At 43.4% G+C, this 21,171-nt stretch overlaps 1 protein-coding gene across 20 annotated transcripts in view; it reads left to right on the forward strand.

Moving 5' to 3' along the window:
- The window catches only part of RYR3 (ryanodine receptor 3), a 555,136-nt gene that overhangs the window by 459,573 nt on the left and 74,392 nt on the right, over positions 1–21,171 (forward strand). For 19 of the 20 annotated variants that reach the window (XR_001751370.2, NM_001036.6, XM_047432931.1 and 16 more), the window contains 5 exons: positions 1,381–1,619; positions 2,995–3,076; positions 9,672–9,802; positions 15,123–15,443; positions 17,679–17,919. Coding sequence is in view for 18 of the 20 variants with exons in the window: in NM_001036.6 (NP_001027.3) it covers positions 1,381–1,619; positions 2,995–3,076; positions 9,672–9,802; positions 15,123–15,443; positions 17,679–17,919 (1,014 nt within the window). In the remaining 2 variants the exon portion in view is untranslated. Of the gene's footprint in view, positions 1–1,380; positions 1,620–2,994; positions 3,077–9,671; positions 9,803–15,122; positions 15,444–17,678; positions 17,920–21,171 lie in introns of those variants that run through there. The other variant, XR_001751371.3, reaches the window with a different exon arrangement.

Here is a 21,171-nt window from a genome sequence, read left to right on the forward strand (position 1 = left end):
CCAGGAGTTCAAGACCAGTCTGGGCAACATAGACCCCCATCTCTACAAAAAATTTTAAAAATTATCCAGACATGATGGCACATGCCTGTGATCCCAGCTACTCGGGAGGCTGAGGTGAGAGGATTGCTGAGCATGGGAGGCTCTCATGAGAGGTCACTGCACTCCAGCCTATGCAACGGAGTGAGACCCCATCTCAAAAAAAAAAAGTTAGAAAGATAGCCCATGAATACTTATAGGATAAGAACAAGCCTAACTGACTTTATTTCTTTGTTTGTATTGTCTTGATGAGTTGAATGATTATCAGGAAAATGATGTAGATAAAAAGCATCTGTCCTTGAACCAAGTCTTTCATAATCTTCTGAATAAGATATAGAAATACAAAACTTATAGATGACTTGTAAGCTTTGTTCCAATTCTAAGTTTTATGAAATACTGTAGTTTTGAGGGAAGGCTTCAAATCTCCATAGCTGATCTTCATCCCTGTAGATCACATTTCAATGTTTTGTTTTGTGTTTTCCAGAGGTCTGATTAAGCTGTCTACTTTAAAACGGCTAGTTGTCTCTTTTCTCTTTCCTCATCCAACCTAGGACGTTTCCCGCAAACTAACAGAAATCTAAGCTTCTGTTGACTTATTTCCTTGCTCTTTTCCTCTAAGAGGTCTTACATCGGAAGAGTTTATGTTTCTAGCTAACCTTTATAAAAGTTGTTTATCTAGGCTGAGCACGGTGGCTCACGCCTGTAATCCCAGCACTTTGGGAGGCCAAGGCGGGCGGATCACCAGGTCAAGAATTGGAGACCATCCTGGCCAACATGGTGAAACCCCGTCTCTACTAAAAATACAAAAATTAGCTGGGCGTGGTGGCGGGTGCCTGTAATCCCAGCTACTCGGGAGGCTGAGGCAGGAGAATTGCTGTAACCTGGGAGGCAGAGGTTGCAGTGAGCCGAGATCACACCATTGCAGTCCAGCCTGGTGACAGGGTGAGACGCTGTCTCAAAAAAAAAAAAGTTGTTTATCCCACAACTTTTCTTAAAGCTCATTTCCCTGTTCTTTTAACTAGATCTTTACAGAAGACTTTAGCCAGTTGCAACTTACTGTAGATAATAGTGGGTGACCAATATTGGCTTCATTCTAAATTGTTCTCTGCATTTCCTGAAGAGGTGAGCAATGTTTTCCTCAGACTGTCCAGTGGCTAGCCCCTCTGGGATTGTGTGATTCAGGTTTCTTCCTGGATGTTAACTGCTCTCTCCCTTTCTCCTGACACAGTGTCATTGAGTGACAGGAGTGGCAAATGTCTGCCCAGATGACACTGCCAGTTTCAAGAAGGGGATTGGCCAAAAGTTCAGATTATGCTTCTAGATTTGAACATTGTTTGCTTGCAGGACTGTCATGAAGTCAGGCTCAGAGCTGGTGAAGGCTGGGTTACGAGCATTCTTTGAAAATGCTGCAGAAGATTTGGAGAAGACTTCAGAAAACCTGAAACTTGGGAAGTTCACCCATTCCCGAACGCAGATTAAAGGCGTTTCTCAGAATATTAACTACACTACAGTGGCTCTGCTCCCCATCCTGACGTCCATCTTTGAGCACGTCACTCAGCATCAGTTTGGAATGGATCTACTCTGTGAGTTCTACTGGTATTTGTCGTGGATGTATGTGCACATGGCCCCAGATAGGAGGTGCAGGGCCCATTCACTTACATTGACCTTGAGGGCAGAGCAGAGAGAGAATTATTCCATGCCTTTTCTTTCTTAGATTAAAAAAGAAGAAGAAGAAGAAGAAGAAGTAATATACTCTTGGAATGGAAAGAAATTCCCTAATTTGAGTATATAATATTTATCTTTTTCCACTTTTGTTCTGGACCAGAATTTCCCATCTGCCTGTCTAGCTCTCAGCTATTGTACTCTCGCTTAATTTCAAAGGTTATCTGAGTAATACAGTGGGAGATACAGATTTGCTCCTGGGTTTTTGAGACATCATTTTTCTTATTAAGAAGACTTAATTTATTCATTGGATACCAGGAGCAAAGGAAAAATGCTAACATTTCCTTATCTGAGCTTTCGGAAGACCAAAGTTGGTTGGTTTTATTTTAGTTTGCATTAACACCATATTTAGTGCCACCACCTCCTCCAGCCCCCTGTGCAGATAGTCTGCCACCAGACTTCAGTTTTACACTTTAAATATTGGGACATGATTTAATTTGACCAGTTGTTGATAGCTAAGACTATGTCTTTCATATCCTTGAACAACTGAAAATCAGTGATTTCTGTTGTGTGGGGGCTGGAAGAACATCCAAACTCATTATTTTGTGCCATAGAAACAGTGCAGTTCCTTGGTCGGAAAAGAAAACATTAAATTAGTTCTGAAAGTAGTCCCGGCCTTGGTATGAGCTCTAGACATGGCTAGGGATGTGTAGCCGCCAGATTCACAAGCAAAACATGCCCTTCCCCTAGGAAACATGATAAAATCATACTATTGAATTGCCTTTTGCAGAACACCCAGCAGAGAACCTGGGATAGGCAGATGTGAGGGATTTTGCTCTATCTCTAAGGGAAGTCTAGCAGTTGGACGTATCTTCCTGGGAAATGAGCAAAAGGCTCATTCAAGCTTCAGATTTTCTGCATTCATCCTTCCAAAGGAAGGAAATATTGCCCTGGATAAAACTGGGCTAAAATGTCTCTATTGGAAACGAACCAAATCGCATTATGGAAGGACCCATTGGTCAAATGATTCCTTTCCCTGTGAAGCGATGTAATCTTCATGATAAGCCCCACAAAGGAACTGGGATTGCTCAGTGGAGGATTTTTCCTATATTTTTTTTTTCCTAGTCCAGCAATTAGCAAACTGGCATCTGGGTAGAAAAGGGATATGTTTGTTGAGAGAGAAAGGGAGAGATCTTTTACTCTTTACTGATGCTCATGCATTTTTTTTTTCCTCTTCATGGATCCTTTCTGTATTCAGGATTGATGCAAATCAATGATATTTCTTCTTTGTTTCAGTGGGTGATGTGCAGATTTCATGCTACCACATACTGTGCAGCCTCTACTCCCTTGGGACGGGAAAGAACATTTATGTTGAAAGGTAATTAGTGAACGAAGAGGCTAACACTTTCAGGCATAGTAAAATGTTACTTACAGCCTTTTACACACTTAATGATATCATTTCAATCCAGCAAGACCAAAATGCTCACTGATACAGAATGGTGGTTTTGAGCCTTGTTTATGACATGCTTTTGGCAATGTAAAGAAGTGCAATGATGAGGCTATTGAGATTTATGACTCCCGTGGAGATAGCTGGCGAATGTATGTGGCTGGAGAAGCAATATAGCCAAGCTAAATCAGGTGCTCATAACCAAAATGTGTTGGAGATATGTCTGCTTCTTCAGAATCACAGCTTCTAAATAGCTTCCAGAGTTTCTGAGGTTAAAGTGCGCTGAGAAGCTCAAGGGACATGAGGCAGTTGCTTTAGTGTTTAATGAGTTTCTGTGTGCTACAACCCTGGACTTTTACCAGTCTTGGCTGTCGGATTTGCCATAGTTTTCAACAAGTGCACACTTTGGTATTAGCAATGCTAGTCAATACTCTTGAGTCTGAGCAAGCTGACTGCAGAAGCGTGTGGGTTCCAGTTTTGCCTCTCTAATCTGCTTGTCACAGCAGAGACCCTCGGTGACCCCTTGCTTTTCAGCATCAAATGCCTTGTGTTCTGTTGTTGTTCTGTTTAATCCATGGGGAAGATTGGGAGGATAAACAGTATTAACAAAACTAGATCTTACTCTTATCCTTGGAAGATTTTTGTTTTCTTTCTTGCCTTTTCAAACAAGCAAACTGGAAAGAATTCGGTCTGTGCTTACAATTACTTAATCGAAAATCCTTCGGTATCTGCTTTCTATGTGCTGCCTCTATGTATAATGCTTTTATCAAACAAATTGGTAGTGAACCCTCGTCTCATGTCAGAACTTATATTTATTCAAATTGCAGTTTCTCAATATAGCCAAAGATGAAATAAAAGACTTCAGCCCCTTCAAGAACTAAGGAACTACTGACTTGAAGTCATGTACTAGAAACCAAAAAATGTTGTAGAAATGTCTGTTTCTTCATAATCACGGCTTCTAAATAGCTTCCAGAATACAAGAAATTGAGGAACTAATGGCTGCGTTTGTTTTTATTATGATTTTAAGTCTTTAACAGTTGTCAGGCTTTCCTTACTGTTTTACATAAAATATAGATAAATCATTTGTAATTTAGGATAGGAACTGGGCAGACAAAGTTTTATCCATATTTTATACCAAATCACAGAAAAATCAACCAAAAATTTTTCTATTAATGCCAAATTTCACTTGAGGCAGATGTTTTTAGTTTATTTCTCCCACTGAGCATTTGTAAATACATCCTCAGTATCTTTCTCATTCTCTTGTTATATGTATATAAGTATACATTCACTCATATGTCTGTATGTTTCTTGGTACAATTTTTTGTAAAGCTTATGCATTCTTCTCTTGAAAAAAAAAAAAGTCAAAAAGTCAACTCTGAAGTGTCAGACCAGAAAAAGACTGCTCTTCATGTGACTTTCTATCCTTTATTCATGGATTCATTCCAGGTTGATTGTGTATCTGCAGCACCGTGAAAATAGTGCCTGTGCTTCGTGCTCCATGTTGGTAGAAGTCAAGGCTTGGAGAAGCCCCTAGGTTAAGGCTGTCCCTATTGCTTTTTTCTGTATTTTTTTTCCTAAATATTTTTTCCCCTGAACTATGTTTCTCATCTGTGTGTTGGTTATTAGGTACATTGCTAGTTCTCGGGAGTGGAGAAGGATGTGTGTGCTTGTGTGTTTTAAAATGGAGGAGAATGAACAGGAAGAAACAGCAGGCAGCTTCGCATCTGAGAACCTGGCTCAGGACTAACTCTTTCTCCCTAAATCAGCCGTGTGTTTAGCCCTAGCAATGTACCAACGCTCAGCCTCTCATGTTCTCCCCCAGCTAAAGTAAGCAGCTGGCCCAGGTGAGAGGTTGGTGAAACTCAGTGCATCCTAGAGTCATAAGACTTGTGTTTAGTGATTTAATGTAACTGTATTCCCTACTTAGAGAACTCAAGTCAGTGGCCACAAAACGGGCTACTTCTTTCGCTTTGCCTGACCTCCAGGGTTTCTCTAGGCTAGGAGTCCAAGTTATGAGAATGGCAGATGGCATGTATACTTTTCCCTACTCTGTTCCCATCTGCTACTCTGTAATGGAACGTGGCCCCACACGCATGCTGCCCACCAGGTCTCCCGTGGCCTGCTCACACACTTCATCCTCATTGTTTCAGGCAAAACCTTATCTTTTGGCCCCCTTAAAACCCCTATATTCACTTACAGAGGCCAAAGTCCTCTTCCAGGTCTGGAAAGTATGTTTCCATTTCGGTGTCCTTACTTGATTTGGTTTTCATATTTTATGGGTTCAGAGTTACCGTACATTTTCCAATTTTAGCATAGATCAAGATGTCTTCCCAGTTTCTTTTCATTTCTTGTGGGTTTCACAGAGGAAAGTACAATGAACCCACCATTTCTCTACCACCTTTTGCTGGCGTCTCCTTGACTGATGAACGTATGTAAGGGAATCACTACATACTTGCTTTCCAGCTACACCTGGAGTATGCTTTGTAGATAGAAATGATTCAAGACACCTTGGTGATAGGGTTGACTGTGAGGGGCAAAGTCACTGAAACAGAGTACAGACATTTCTTTTGGAATGTTTTCTAATTGAGACAACAACACTGAGAATGTCATTGACAAGTGGAGTTTGCAGACACAAAATTTCAGAGAAGGGTAATGGTTTGTGCATTTAATCATGCAGAATACCGAATTATTTAACTTGGAGATACTTTGATGAACTTAAAGAGCATTTGATGGGGGTTATTCAAGAAAGCAAAGCTTGAAACTTGGTAACGTTAAACACTGGGTCTCAGTTTTGTTTCAAATGAAGACTGAGTTTTCTACTTCATGCTTTAAAGCTATTTTGTTTCTTTCATCCTGTCTGGCTCCCTTTGACCAATTATTTCTGATCAGACATTGCACAATGTTCCCTAAACCTCTAAGGTCACCATCACTGCTGTCTAGACCCGTGTCCTGCCCTGTCCCCACTGTGCTTTCTGCTTCTCTGTTACATGTTATTTCCTCTCTTTAGTACCCTCTGGAATATAAATGAAGGAACTTTCAAAATTGCAAAGCACCATTTACGTGCAAGATATTATTATTATTACTTTGATGACTTTGTCTTTTCCTATATCCCTAACAATCGATTTTGAAAGGCAAGATTCAGATACATGGAAATAAAACTGAGAGATTGAAAAGGAAAGTGCTACTTGTCAAATTAGGATGTAACAAAAACTGAAATACAAACTGAACACTGTCCAGTCTGTCACCATTGACCAAGTATGTATTGTGTGAAAAATACTGTATGAGGCAGTGAGAACCGAGACCAGACGAGCCTGGGCAACCTGGCAAGACCCAGTGGCTACAAAAATTTTTTAAATCAGCCAGTCATGGTGGCACATGCCATAGTCCTAACTATTCAAGAGGCTGAGGTGGGAGGATTGTGTGAGCCCAGGCTTTCAAGGCTGCAGTAAGCTGTGATAGCAGCACTGCACTCCAGCCTAGGCTACGAAACAAGAACTTGTCTCTAAATAAAGAGAGTTTCCATATCCAATGATAAACCCTTCCAATATATCCTCTGGTTATTATGGAGCTGTTTCTGTAGGCTTTTCTCTGTGGGAAGCTTGGCCCATACCAACACTCCCTGCTGGGGAGCACTAATGACCAGTGAGCCTTATATTAATAACAGCAAGTCTTTGCCTAGCTCAATCCCTCCTTGGGCTTTGGGACCAAAGTCATTCACACTGATACTTCATAGCCAGGAGCATTAATTGGCAGACTTCTGGGTTTTACTTTTACAGACTTCTCAGTTTTACTTTTTTTTTTCCCCTGGGTTTAACTTTTTAACAGCTAGGCCAAGAGAGCTGTTGTTTATTTCTTATAAGAAGCTACTTAGCACCAATGTGCACCCCAGAGTAGAAAATGCCCTGTTGTGGAGCTTGTGGAGTGGTCAGGTTTGTTAGTAATTAAAATATGAGAGGGCAGGGCCAGTCCCCTGAGTCAACACAGCACCAGAGAACTGAGACTTAGCAACAGCCTTTTACCCCAAGGACTGCCTTCGTGTCTGACTAACCTTCTAGAAATCCACTTTCAGGAGATCATGGTTTTAATTTTGGTCAAAGAAAGAGGAAAAAAAAAAAAAAGAGAAGAATAATGGATCTATCCAGTCCCAAGCCACCTCGGGACCCCTTGTCTCCTAGGTTCATCTCTGTGTAAAATTTGCTGTCAGGCAGGACGCGGTGGCTCACGCCTGTAATCCCAGCACTTTGGGAGGCAGAGGCGGGCGGATCACCTGAGGTCAGGAGTTCGAGGCCAGCCTGGCCAACATGGTGACGCTTCGTCTCTACCAAAAATACAAAAATTAGTCGGGTGTGGTGGTGCGTGCCTGTAGTCCCAGCTACTCGGGAGGCTAAGGCAGGAGAGTCACTTAAACCTAGGAGGCAGAGCTTGCAGTGAGCTGAGATCGCACCACTGTACTCCAGCCTGGGCGACAGAGCAAGACTCTGTCTCAAAATAAATAAATAAATAAATAAATAAAGCTATCAGATTTGAAATCTTACCCCTTGTTATTCCTGATTTTCATCCAGGTTTTCTTTCCCAATGCTCTCCCTGTGGCCTTTCTTGTCCTTTCACAATTTATCTCCTTATTTCTTCCTCCAATTCACAAAGCAAGACTGAAGAGAGAAAACACCATATTTCTCCTCATTGGCCACTGTGGTAAAGATGGTAAAACTCTTAGCTGAAAAAAATTGCCTCTTGTGAATGCCTGTATTTGATATGTAGAGGCACTCACTATCCTCAGTTGTCACCGAGGGAATTGGCAACTCAGGTCTGAAGTTAAAATGATGCCCCTCTTCCCACACCTGGCCACCACCTGGAACTTAGTAAAGAAGAGAAATAATCGGGGAAGAGCAGGTGCTGAGGAGGAAAGGCAGGGGAATAGGCCTGGCCTGGGGCCTGCCCAGAAGTGAAGCTGCATTGTGAAAGCTTCGCCAATATCACCTGCGTCTCAGCAGTCTCCGTCTCTGGGCAGCATTGATACACAGGGCACAATAGGACTGGTTTGTCCAAGGGCCTCCACTCTGCCTCTGGAGCAGTCCTGGGTGGGGAGGTTTTAGCAGTCAAACATTTATCCAAAGGACAAGACTGAGCCATCAGCTAAGAAGAGATTGCCTGACTGAGGACCTGTCAATCCAGTGTTGCTGACTGGGGGCTGATTTTGAAGTTATCGGCTCAAATGCTTCATAGCCAAGTAGGCTATCAGCCAAGCCTAAGAAGAAGATAAAACATAAAACCACATATATTAACTTCCCCTTATAGTAATTTAAAAGATCACTTTTTAAAATATGTTTGGTAACTTGAATGAAGACTGGGTGGCTTTTCGAAGGAATGCACAGCTTTCTGCCAACTCACCCACCCTTCCCTCCTCCTTCTCTCTAGTTCAGCAGATTTATATCTCAAGGAGAGCACTTCTATATACCCTAGATTTGCTGTCTGCAGATTCTATCATAGTCTTGTGCAGTCATTTTTCTTCAAGACCAGTTAAGATCACAATTTTTCTTTTCTTTTCTTTTTTTTTCTTTTTGAGTTGGAGTCTTGCCCTGTCACCAAGGCTGGAGTGCAATGGTGTGATCTCAAGCCTTTTGTTTTTGTTTGTTTGCTTGCTTCACAGGAAGACTTAAGAACCAGACCTTAAGATATGGTGGACAGTCAACTATTTGTACAAAAGAGGGAAAGGAGTAACCGTTATCTGAGGTCTCTCCTGTAAATCAAGCAGTAGGTTTTAGGACCTATTGTTTCTGTTGTAAGGGCAGGTCTTTTATTTTTGTGTCTCATTGGTGCTTTGGTGTGCTACCTACTGTTCCCACTAGTGGACACAGGCTCCATCCATAGCAGAGAAGAGACACAGAGAAATTACACAGATTTCAAAGCATTTTTGAGAACAGGGAAGGATCCATCTCAATTTGGATACCAGCAGAACTTGCTCTCACACATGCTGGGAGAGAGGGACAAAGCCGCACAGTGTGTTATATCATCTTAACCAGTTAAGAACTAGGATCTGGCCGGGCGTGGTGGCTCACGCCTGTAGTCCCAGCACTTTGGGAGGCCGAGGCGGGCAGATCACAAGGTCAGGAGATCGAGACCATCCTGGCCAACATGGCGAAACCCCGTCTCTACTAAAAAAAAAAATAGAAAAAGAAATTAACCGGGCATGGTGGTGGGCGCATGTAGTGCCAGCTACTCGGGAGGCTGAGGCAGGAGAATGGCGTGAACCTGGGAGGCGGAGCTTGCAGTGAGCTGATATCGCGCCACTGCACTCCAGCCTGGGTGACAGAGCAAGACTCCGTCTCAAAAAAAAAGAACTAGGATCTAAGCAGTGAGAGCATTGGTTAGTGTCTAGAGAAAGAGGAGGGGAAGAAGTGCATGCAAGCTTGCTGAGCCTAGTGCCTAGGGATGTCCATGGATTAATCTATGGGGAAGGCCTGATCTGCCAATGCATGGGGCCAGCATGTGGGGGGCCACACTTCTCAATGGACTTCTTTGTTTCCAGGCAACGCCCTGCCCTTGGAGAATGTCTGGCCTCGCTGGCAGCTGCCATACCAGTGGCATTCCTGGAGCCCACCCTTAATCGCTACAATCCACTCTCGGTCTTCAACACCAAAACCCCCAGGGAGAGGTCTAGTAAGTATCTCCCCTCAAAGGTCATCAACCCATTTCATGTGCTGAGAGGAGAGGAGCCACACAGGCAGGGAGCAGCAGCCCTGCAGCACTGTGGCTTTCTTGGTCTGAGAGGAGCCAGGAGGTGAGGTTAGGGACTAGGTTGCAGGTCTGCATCTTACTGGAGAAATAAGCATGGGCAAGGCTTTGTTATAATTAGGCTTTGGTTTCCTCTTCTCTAAAGTGAGGAGTCAGTGTTGCTGATTTTGAAATCCTTTCCATCCTAAGACCTCAGGGTCTCTTGTCTGCTCTGGGTTTCAGTTCCCCCTCTGCACCTGGGGATGTGACTCCTTTTTTGCAGTGCCTCTCCAGAGTGGTATCAGAAGGTGCACATCCACAGTAATAACCCAGTTATACTCTTCAAGTCCATGGAGAGGCGTGCTTCTAAAGATGCTGATGACACATTTTTGTCCTCATGGAAGATAAGACATAGAAAAGCACCAAAAGGAAGAGAAAGTGTACAAGAAAGAATATTTCTTAGCAAACATATTGACACGCTAGGTTCCACAACAGGGTGGCAAACTATGACCACAGGGCAAATTTGGCCCCCTGCCTATTTTTGTAAATAAAGTTTTATTTGAACACAACCACACCTACTTACGTACATTTGGTCTGTGGCTGCTTTAGCACGACAATGGCAGAGTTGAGTAGAGGCAGGAAAGTTTGGCCCGCGAGGCCTAAAATATTTACTATCTGGCCCTCTACAGGAAACGTTTTCCACCCTCTTTTGTAAAATGATCCTGGAACTAAAATCCAAGGCAGGTTGTAAATCTGCTTCTGGAGGGTGCTTGTATCTGGGTTAATTGTGATCCTGCCTAAGGATAAGGGAATAGAATAGAGGAGCTTCAAGTAGGAGCCTTGAATCAAGCTTGGACTCCAACTAGAAAGAACTGCGATGATTCCATCTATTCTGAAGCAAAAATTACCCAACTGTAGGCTAATCAATATTAAGGGAAAACAAGCTACAGTAAATTATTTTCAACCAGAGCTTTTTCTATTCAGAACCAATGTTTTCTTAAAATATTGCTATACACTACCAGTAGATGTCTGGACGTGGTAGCAATTCCATTTAGTTCAAGCCCCCTTTCTCAAACTGCCATGAGATTTAAGGAAGAAGCATTCTGAGCAAGAAAGGGCTCATGCCACACTTTTCTTTGCCACTGCTGTTTTTTTCATCTAAAAATGCGAAGTGCTAAGCCATGGCAGCTTTATTCCCACTCGCTTCTTGTTACTTCAGGTAAGAGGAGCACATTGCCCCCCAGAAATGATCACCAGGACAATTCAGATAAGGCCACTAATAAAAATCTTTCACTGAGCTAGAATACAGTGGAGACTAGTGTTCTCAGAGGTAGTCAAGAGAAACATTGCCAAGATGCCTCAACTTTCCAAAGTCCCGTATGAAATCTATAAGTTAACCTTTCCTCAACCGCTTCAGCCTCATCTCACCCTTTCTTCCCTTTGAAATTAGCAAAAAAAAAAAAAGGGGGGGGGGATTTCCAACCTTTTTTTTACTTCCCACTCCTGATTCCAAATGAGTCCTGGCTTTCCACCAAAGTGGAAGCTGAGCAGCAGAGCAGACTTTGGTGAAGTTGAGAAGTGGCTGTGACATCTCCAGGCAAATGCCAGCCCAGGTGTTGCTTCCTGACTCCAAAGGGACATGGGGCCCAGTCATGACAGTTCTGGATATGTATACATTTATTCTGCTTCAACTGTGACTTGAGAAATAGTGTATCTCTGTCTCTATACCAGCACTGTGTAGAGCTTCACCTGGGGAAAGAGAGAAACTGCCTCTGCTCTTTAGTTCATAAAGGCACAGTAGCAGGGTGAAATGAGGATGTGACAAAGATAGAGGAAAGCCTAGGTTAGCTTTGGGAGGGAGGGGAATTAGTCTCTTGCATTGTGCTCCTTCCCAAGAGCTATTTGAAAAGTGTTCCTTTTCATTCTATATACCTTTGCATTGATTTGATAAGACATATTCATAAATAAAAAATGACTCCCCACCATTGCATATTCCAAAGGAAGAAAAGAGACAAGGTTGTAATTAGAGATGACACAGTCCTTTATCCATTAGCGACACACTATGGGACTCTATGTCCAGCTCCCCTGAGCCCATGTCTTTCATCACTGGCTTTAGCAAAGAGTGGATGCTGACCGTGTATATGGCTCTTAAAAAGTTTATCTAGAGCCGGAGAATGACTGTTGGCTTAATGAGCTGTAAGAAGGTAGACTTCATTCATTACAAAGTGGGTGGCCTGAGGGATAAAGGGCGGGGAGGAATGTATAAGGTGACAGGTGATGTGAGCCTGTGATTTAGAAATACAGTATGAACTGATTTATCATGTCTTCAGTTAATTGGGCATCTCTATTAATTGACACTTGATGCTTTGCCAGCAGAATTACTCAGATTAGTATCTTTGATGCCCTATAACATCCTGGTGCATTTTCTTCCTTATCCAAAAATTATTAAGATATACCTAGAAAAAGTTTAATACTGTTATGAGTCAGTTATTCAAAACTAGTTAAATCCTTAGTTATGGGTGGCAGTGATCTATTAATCAGAACACTAGATGTCAGACCAAAGCATCCTATTACCAGTCAGTTTGCTTTTCTTCTGTACCCTATTGGAACTCTTTTCTCTTTGGTTGATTATTCCAATTCTAATGTAAGCCATCTGTCTGTGTTGCAAAGAGAAGAGGTGCTAAAGTGAGGCACACAAGACTTTAGAATCTAATCTGGTGATTCTTGAATTCTAACGCGCATCAGAATCACCCGGGAGGCTTGTTCAAGACTGTTGAGCCCCACCCCTAGGGTTTCTAATGCAGTAAGTCAGTTTGGAGTGAGGCCCAGGAATTTGCATTTTCAGCCGGTCTCCAGGTGATGCTGGTGCTGCTGGTAGGAGGATTGCACTTTGAGAATTATTGATCTAGAAGTTAAAAGGACAGTGATTCTAAAGATTCCCCCTAACAGTCTTGCGTCTGATTCTAAGAGGACACAGCTGAGGCTGTTTTTCTAGCAGCTAACTCGGAATTCATTCTGTGGGTTTATGCTGTGGCATTTGAAATACAAAACACCCTGAATCACAAATGTTTGTTCCACTCAAGGGCCAATTACGTATAAATAACTTTTAAAGGTCATTATAATGGCTCCAGTGCAGCAACCTCAAGCAACTCTGTTTTTCTTAGGCAGCGGGCAAAAAGTGTTCATGATGATGTATTGTCTATGTGACATTTAAACAAACGCACCTGAGCCTTATCGTTTATAATCCCACGGCAAATAGTTGTAAATTTCAGTTGCGTCTATGGCAGTGGCATTGTTCTGTGTGTAGAACCTCAAGGTAGAATGTTTGACTTCCCTGTGTTTACCTCTGTACTCTGAGAGTATGTGTATAAAATTATTTTGTTTGCAAGGGTCTCTCCAGACTCCCATGATCTTGTTACCCATGGCCATTGTTGTCCTGCTGCAAGATGCAGGACAGACTCATTATCTGCAAATGACCATATCTGACCCATAATTTCCTTCTGCAAATCACAAGAGTTCAGGGTTCTTTGGCTTTCATGCTATTAATCCTTTTCAGTTGTCTGGGTTTTAAAAGATATTGGTCCACCCCTGACATCCAAGGAGGAGAGATTTTTAGCCTTCTATCCACCAGAAGGCTCTAGTGATAGCAACAAAAGTCATCACTACGGAAAGGCTAATAGTGCTTCACTGGGCCTATTCCATAGCATAGAGACTGCTGGGATCCATTGCTTTGCAACTGCACATCCTGTCCAGGTAGAATCACTTGTCTCAGCTGCAGATTCATTCTCTCCAAGATAGCTGGGATTATTCTGTATCTCTGCTCCATGCACTATAACCATGAGAGAAATTGAGACAGTCCCTTTCAATTGACCAGTGTTCCTTAAGGCCAAGGAATTTGGTATGGCCTCTCCTATTTATTAATCCTTCAATTCCAATGGATATAAAATCTGAAAATCTAGAGAAGAAAGACCTCAAGCCAATGGTAATCCCAATGGCAAAGGGCCTTGCAGGCATAACCCAATTCACTAAACATACATTTGTATTTGCAGTCTTCTGCTTTATCTTTGGAAATGTATGAGAACTTTGCATTTGATTCCAAATATCAAAAATAATTTCCTCAAATCTTCCAGTGAACTGATGTTCTGGGAAAGCACACCACATTTTTCCTGTGGCTTCCCAGACTGCCTAGCTCCTTCAGTGCCGGATGTTTTTGCCCCCGTTTGAGAAGTTTGGCCTGAGGAGGAAGTAGACACATTCTGTAGGAAGCAGTTAGATCAATGGGTGCGTATGCAAACCTTTGGGCTTGTGGCTCTTACTCAGAATTGTCCACGTCCCTCCACTCAGAGCCCTTGTTATCCTCTAACATGTCAGGAACTTCAGGATGCTTCCAGTCTTCCTCCCATCTTGCAGGAAAGAGTGTCCTTTACCTTAAGGGAAGCAGGACAGATAAGCCCTGGATTTTTCTGTTTACAGTTCTTGCATCTGAAAACCCTCCCTGGTTGAATATTGAACTCTGTCTGTTGATACTTTAGCCTGTGTGTCCTTGTCTAGAGCAGCACCCTCAATCATTCAGGGTGAGGAAAAGATAGGGCTCCCACGATTCCTTACAAATCAGTCCTTGGAAACAAAAAGGATTAAGTGATTGACAGGGAGTCAATCAAGCCACCTCAGGTCATCCATCATTTCTATTGTGAAGCCAGAAATCAGTCCACGTGCGATGCTTTTCCCCCCAGAATTCCAGCTGGATGGAAAGTTGTTGTTTCTGGTCCAGCTGAAGGACTATTAGATGAGTGGACTTTTATTTTTCCTTTTCTAAGCCGAGTATAGATGTGATCCAGGCAATGGCACCACAGCTTGGAACTAAACACTGATCAGTTGCTTTTCTCCTCTGATTACTGATTTTCCTGCAGGGGACACACTAAGGCCCAGGCAGGCAAGCCAAGAGGGAGAAGCCAAGAGACTGGCTTCATCGCAGGATAGTCTTAGGAACTAACTATCCCTCATCCTTGTGTCTGCTGTACTCCTTTAACCATGTGTTTGTTTTAACCTCACCTCAACACGACATCTAGGAAGATAATGCAGCCTCTGGAAGCTGCACTCTGTTCACAGACAGCTGGAGGACAAAAGCCACTCCACATCCAAGCTCACTGCTGTGAAGCTCTAGAAATTTATTCCTAAAGACCAAAGGAAAGGAGGGGCAGAGAGAAGGAAGCTTGCACCCACTGTGCTTTTGAATTTCTGTCCCTTTATTCTTCCTCTCAATCAGTTCTGGGGATGCCAGACACGGTAGAAGACATGTGTCCTGACATCCCCCAGCTGGAAGGCCTGATGAAGGAAATCAACGACCTGGCCGAGTCAGGGGCCCGGTACACAGAGATGCCCCATGTCATCGAGGTGATCTTACCCATGCTCTGCAACTACTTGTCCTACTGGTGGGAGCGGGGTCCTGAGAACCTGCCCCCCAGCACAGGGCCATGCTGCACCAAGGTCACCTCTGAACACCTCAGTCTCATCCTGGGCAACATTCTGAAAATCATCAACAACAACCTGGGCATCGATGAGGCCTCCTGGATGAAGCGCATTGCAGGTACCGACCCCTTTCTCCCCAGTCCCCAGCCCAGGGGCCAAGATAACTGGATTCTTTTTTCATCTCTATTATTAATTCCAAGATGGTTTTGCACAAGCTCTATTCTATATTTAAACCTCCCCATGCCCACCCCAGTTGCTTAACAGTAAAAAGAATTGACATATTCCCCTGAAGAGCTTCCTGGAGCCAATGCTCCCGGCCCACTCCCCTACTCATCCAGGCCCCTCAACTCTCCAGGAAGCCCTTCTTAATCAACTCCACTCAAATCCAATGAGCATTGCTTTATTTGATTTTGGTACTCAAGAATCCCATTAGCTCTTACAGTAATAATTGTCCAGAATTTTCCTGGTAAGTAATCCTGTGTGTTTTCCACTTGTATAAAACTCACTGCCATCTGACCTACACTATAAGTTCCTTACTGTCACTCTGCATTTGTATTTCACTCTGTGCTTTCTAAGACACTGTCTCATGCGGGCTCACGGTAGTGGCACTTTGTTGTTTTTTTTTTTTCTTTTGTATCCCTCCAAAGTTACTTGCACACAGCCAGCTCTCAATGAATGCTATTAGCCAATTTTCTCTTCCTGAAGCAACTTCAAAAAAAGGACAGGCTTGGAAAATCAATAACTATACTTTCCACAGTCAGGAAACCACAAATATTTTGTGTCCTCTGTGTCAAACTACAGTCCAAGGAGATAGAAGCTAAGGCAAAATTACTGCTTTTGATGGACCTATGATTTAGGTAGTGGAGTCCACCAGTAACATCTTTACCCATATAATCTCCTGGACATGAAAACAATGGCTAAGCTAAAGGGAACTATTAATCCAACACTGGTATTTACTTTCCTGGACAAAGGAATCAGTGTCCTTCTGCAGGACCAAGGAAGAAAAGTTACTGCTTCTTCCTGTCTCACAGATGAACTAAGATCAAAATTATAAATATCTTGGGTGCTAATTGGTGTTCCTCTATTACCCATTAGCCCTAAAATATTGTTAACCATAAGGTAATTTTTCAATGAGTTTTACTTGGTAAATCTGAATTAAGGGAAGGAAAGGTTTCAAAAAAATCTCCTCCCTTACCTCCCTAGAGGTGCGCAGAGGGAAAGTGTCACAACGTGAAGGCCACTGATGGAAACTGAAGTTCGGCCTGTTATTCCACAGGTGAATCTAGACTTCATTCAGACAGGCTACTTACTTCTTGGTGACTAAACAAAGTCAATTTTAAGTAGTAACCCCAAATCACCCACATAAGATGTAGCCATTCCAATTACATATCTAAAGCAGAGTTGCTCATTGAAGAAGGCTAAGAAGTCACAACTTCTTGGTGAATGCAGAGAGTGCCATTAACCTTCTCTTTCTAAAAGTATCTGTTTTATAAAAGTAAAATATAAAGTGATATTTTGAAGAAAATTGCTGGAATGCAAGCTGTTTCCAGCTGAAATGCCTTAAGCTAAAGACACTTTGAAAAGGTGAATGTAGATTGTCAGTGGTTCACAACTCTCACTCACTCATTTTTTTCTTACAATTACTCTGGTCTTTAAAAAAAAAAAACAAAAACAAACAAACAAAAACAATGGAAAGGCATATTGCTCTTTCTCTGATTGCTTGTTTCTGCTTTTCAACTTCTAGTGATCACCCCAGCCTCTTTTTGTTCATTTGTAATTGATACCAGACTTATATCCCTCCCTCAGAGCCCAGAGGAGTCTCCAGGCAATAGGTTGGCAGGTTTCAAGTGTTGAGGCTGAGGATGGTAGTCGGGTTAATGTGCTTTTAACAACAGATTGTTCTGTAAAATAACCAGAAAGCATATACTGAGTGCCCGCTGTTAGTGCAGTACTTGCTGTTAATAAAAGCCTTCCTTCAGGAAGTTTACAATCTGCTAGTGAGCCGAAAGCAAAAAGAATGGACTATAAAATAATACAAAATAGTCTGTCACGAAGAGCTAAGGGGTGTGGCATAGGCCATGTGTGCATGAGAGGTTCGAGGGAGGCAGGGGCTCCTCATGGCCTGGAAGAGCAGAGCAGGAATATGGACCTTCTCCCATAGTGGCCTCGGTTCCCCATCCCTCAAGGTGACTCTATGAGAGGGAAGTATCAAGGGGAAGATTGAGGAAGGGAACAAGGGGCAGGTGCCATCCTGAGTCGATGGGATTCCACGGCCTCACCTTTCAGTCATGTCTTTCATTTTCATCAATTGCCATAATACGTGAAATGACGGGGAGGCTCTTTGTAAACGCAGTGTATGCACAGCCCATCATCAGCAAAGCCAGGCCCGACCTGCTGAGAAGCCACTTCATCCCAACTCTGGAGAAGCTGAAGAAAAAGGCTGTCAAGACGGTGCAGGAGGAGGAGCAGTTGAAAGCCGATGGCAAAGGGGACACCCAGGAGGCAGAACTCCTCATCCTGGACGAGTTCGCGGTCCTCTGCAGAGATCTCTATGCCTTCTACCCCATGCTGATCCGCTACGTGGACAACAACAGGTACGGAGGAGAGCACTAGGAGCCTGTCTGCCCCTCTGTGGGGCTAGTTTAGGCAACAGAATAAAATGGAAAGATGGTGTTGGGTTGTTAACAGTGAGATAAAGGAGGCGATAGCCGCCCCCACCATTCTCCTTCCCAACACCAATGGTTCCTGCTGTAGGAGCTCTGGGCATTGCTTTCCTGGAGCAATGATTCTGTATGGTCTGTGACATGGCCATCTCCTCCATCCTTACGGGCTACCACAGGTCAGAGGAAGTTGGTCAAATAAAGGTAGCAGTGACCCACTTCTGCCCCTCTGCTGTTCACTAACGTATTCCTTCAACCAATACTGCCTGACTGTGTGTTAAGCGCTCTTCTAGGCTTTAAGCGATAGGAGTGAACAGAAAAGACAAGCTCTCTGGCCTAGGGAGATTTCTTTCTGGGGCTAGGAGAGGTGCATAAACAATAAACAACCCATATAAGTAAATTATATAGAGCGGGGTAAGGGGAATTAGGAGGGTCAGGGTGGGGTGGAGTTGTGTTTTTAGATAGAATGTTACTGAGAAATCAACATTTGAGCAAAGACCTGAAGTCAGTAACGTTTGGAACCAGAAAGATCTGGGGCGGGGGTGTTGCAGGAAGAGGAAACGTCTGGTGCAGGCACCAAGAAAAAAGTGCGTTTGGGATGTTCAAGGGACCAAAAGGAGGCCAGTGTAGCTGAAGCAGAGGGAGGGGTGGGGAAGAGCAGTAGAAGATGTCAGAGAGGCAACACGGGGCCGAGAGTCCAGGCCTAGGACGCCACTGTGAGGACTCTGACTTTTACTCTGAGTCAGATAACAAGCCCCTGGAGATTCTGAGGGAGTCTGTAATGTGATCTGATTCACTCTTTGAGCACTGTAGCAAGAGGTGGAGGCAGCAGGGAAGGAAGAAGACCAGTGGGAGGTTCTCCATGATCCAGGCAAGAGTGGAATGTGATCCATAGAAACTGAAAGTGGATTAGCAGTGTCAGGGGTGGGAGAGAGTGATGGGGAGGGACTGCTTTATGCTTTTTTTTAAGCACTGGGCTTTCCTTTTGGGGTGATGAAAACATCGTGGAACTGGATGATTGTAGTTTCACAACATCGTGAATGTACTAAACATCGCTGATTGCAAATTTTATGTTATATGCATGTTACCAGGTTTTATTTTATATATATATATATATATATATATATATATATATTTTTTTTTTTTTTTTTTTTTTTTTTTTTTTTTTGAGACGGAGTCTCACTTCGTCACCCAGGCTGGAGTGCAGTGGCGCAATCTCGGCTCACTGCAAGCTCCGCCTCCTGGGCTCATGCGATTCTCCCACCTCAGCCTCGTGAGTAGCTGGGATTACAGGCGCAGGCCACCATGCCTGGCTAATTGTTTGGTATTTTAGTAGAGATGGGGTTTTACCATGTTGCCCAGGGTGGTTTCAAAGTCCTGAGCTCAAGCAATCCGCCTGCCTCGGCTTCCCCAAACTGTTGGGATTACAGATTACAGGCGTGAGCCACCACGCCTGGCCTTCTTTTTTTTTTTTTTTTTTTTTTTGAGACAGAGTCTCACTCTGTCACCCAGGCTGGAGTGCAGTGGTGCGATCTCGGCTCACTACAAGCTCCGCCTCCCAGGTTCACGCCATTCTCCTCCTCAACCTTCTGAGTAGCTGGGACTACAGGCGCACACCACCACGCCCAGCTAATTTTTATTGTATTTTTTAGTAGAGACAGGGTTTCACCATGTTAGCCAGGATGGTCTCAATCTCCTGACCTCGTGATCCACCCACCTCGACCTCCCAAAGTGCTGGGATTACAGGCGTGAGCCACCTTGCCCAGCCCTTTTGTTTGTTTGTTTGTTTGTTTGTTTGTTTTTCTGTAAGTTGATGGTGGCTGAGGCCAAGATGGTAGCAGTGAAGGTTGCCAGAAGTTATCAGATTCTGGGTCTGTTTTGAAGGTAGAGCCCTTGGAATTTCCAAATTGGGAATGAGAGAAAAGAGAGGAGTCAAAAATGATTCCAGGAATTTTGCCTGAGTACATGGAAGAATGGCCTTTTTAGCAATTGAGGAAGACTGTGGATACATCAGATTTGGCCAAGGTTGGAGTGAGGTTGTTGAGGGGAAGATCAGGAGATCACTTTCAGACGTGTTGAAATTTAGTTGCCTATTCAATAGAAAAGTGAAAATGTTGAATGGACAATTGCATATAAGATTCAGAGTTCAAGGGAGAGGTCTGGTGTAGACATATGAATTTGGGAGTAATCGACACATTTAAGGACTGTGAGACTAGATGAGATAAGTAAAGGATTGAGGAAGAGACAGAAGAGTTCCTCAGTACTAAGAGGTCAGGTAGAAGAAGAGGAACAGCAAATGAGACTGAGAGGGAGAAACCAACGAGACAGTAGGAAAGCCAACAGAATGTTGTATCCTGAGTGCCAACTTCACAAAGAGTTTCCAGAAGGAAAGAATGACCAACTGTTTCAAATGCTGCTGGTAAATAAGATGAGAACTGAGACTGGGCATTATATTAAGCAGCTCATTAGTTATTGGTGACCTTGACAAGAGCAGTGTCTATGAAGTATTGAAGATAAAAAGCCTCTTTGGAATGGGTTAAAAGAATGAGAGAAAAGGACTTGGATCTGGCAATACAGGCAACTTGTTCAAGTTTTACTCTAAAGGAGAACAGAGAAATGGGACGCTAGCTAGAAGCAGAAATGTGGCCAAGAGAGGAGTTGTTAACATAGGAAACTTGTCAGGTTGTTTCTTCACCAATGGGAAGGATCCAATAGAGATGGGGGCTATGAACATGTAAGAGAGAGACAATTTCTAAGGCAATGCCCTTGAGCAGGCGAAAGGTCAGCCTCAGGAAATTCATCCCCAGCAACAGACAGGAGGGCAGAGACTGTGTGTGACACACACACACACACACACACCCCTACATTCGGAGAGAGAGAGGGAGAGAGAGGTCTTTTGGGGTCCTTTTCTGATTGCTTTTATTTTCTCAGTGAAGTAGGAAGCAAGATCATCAGTTGGGAATGAAGATGGGGAAAGGTGCCTAGAGGTTTGAAGAGTAAAGAGAAGGTATGAGGGGTGGTTCCCAGGGAGAGTGGAAGAATAGATGCACCAGGGAGATGCGGGGTGATTACCCGGTAGCATTAAGAGATCTCTGGTCATGAATTTACAGTAAGACCCATCAGCACATTGTCTTTTTCTCCAGCCAAATTCAGCTGTCAGATATCAACCAAGAATAGGAAGGAAGT

This window comes from Homo sapiens, chromosome 15 (assembly GCF_000001405.40).
Source record: "Homo sapiens chromosome 15, GRCh38.p14 Primary Assembly".
NCBI classification, from domain to species: Eukaryota; Metazoa; Chordata; class Mammalia; order Primates; family Hominidae; genus Homo; species Homo sapiens.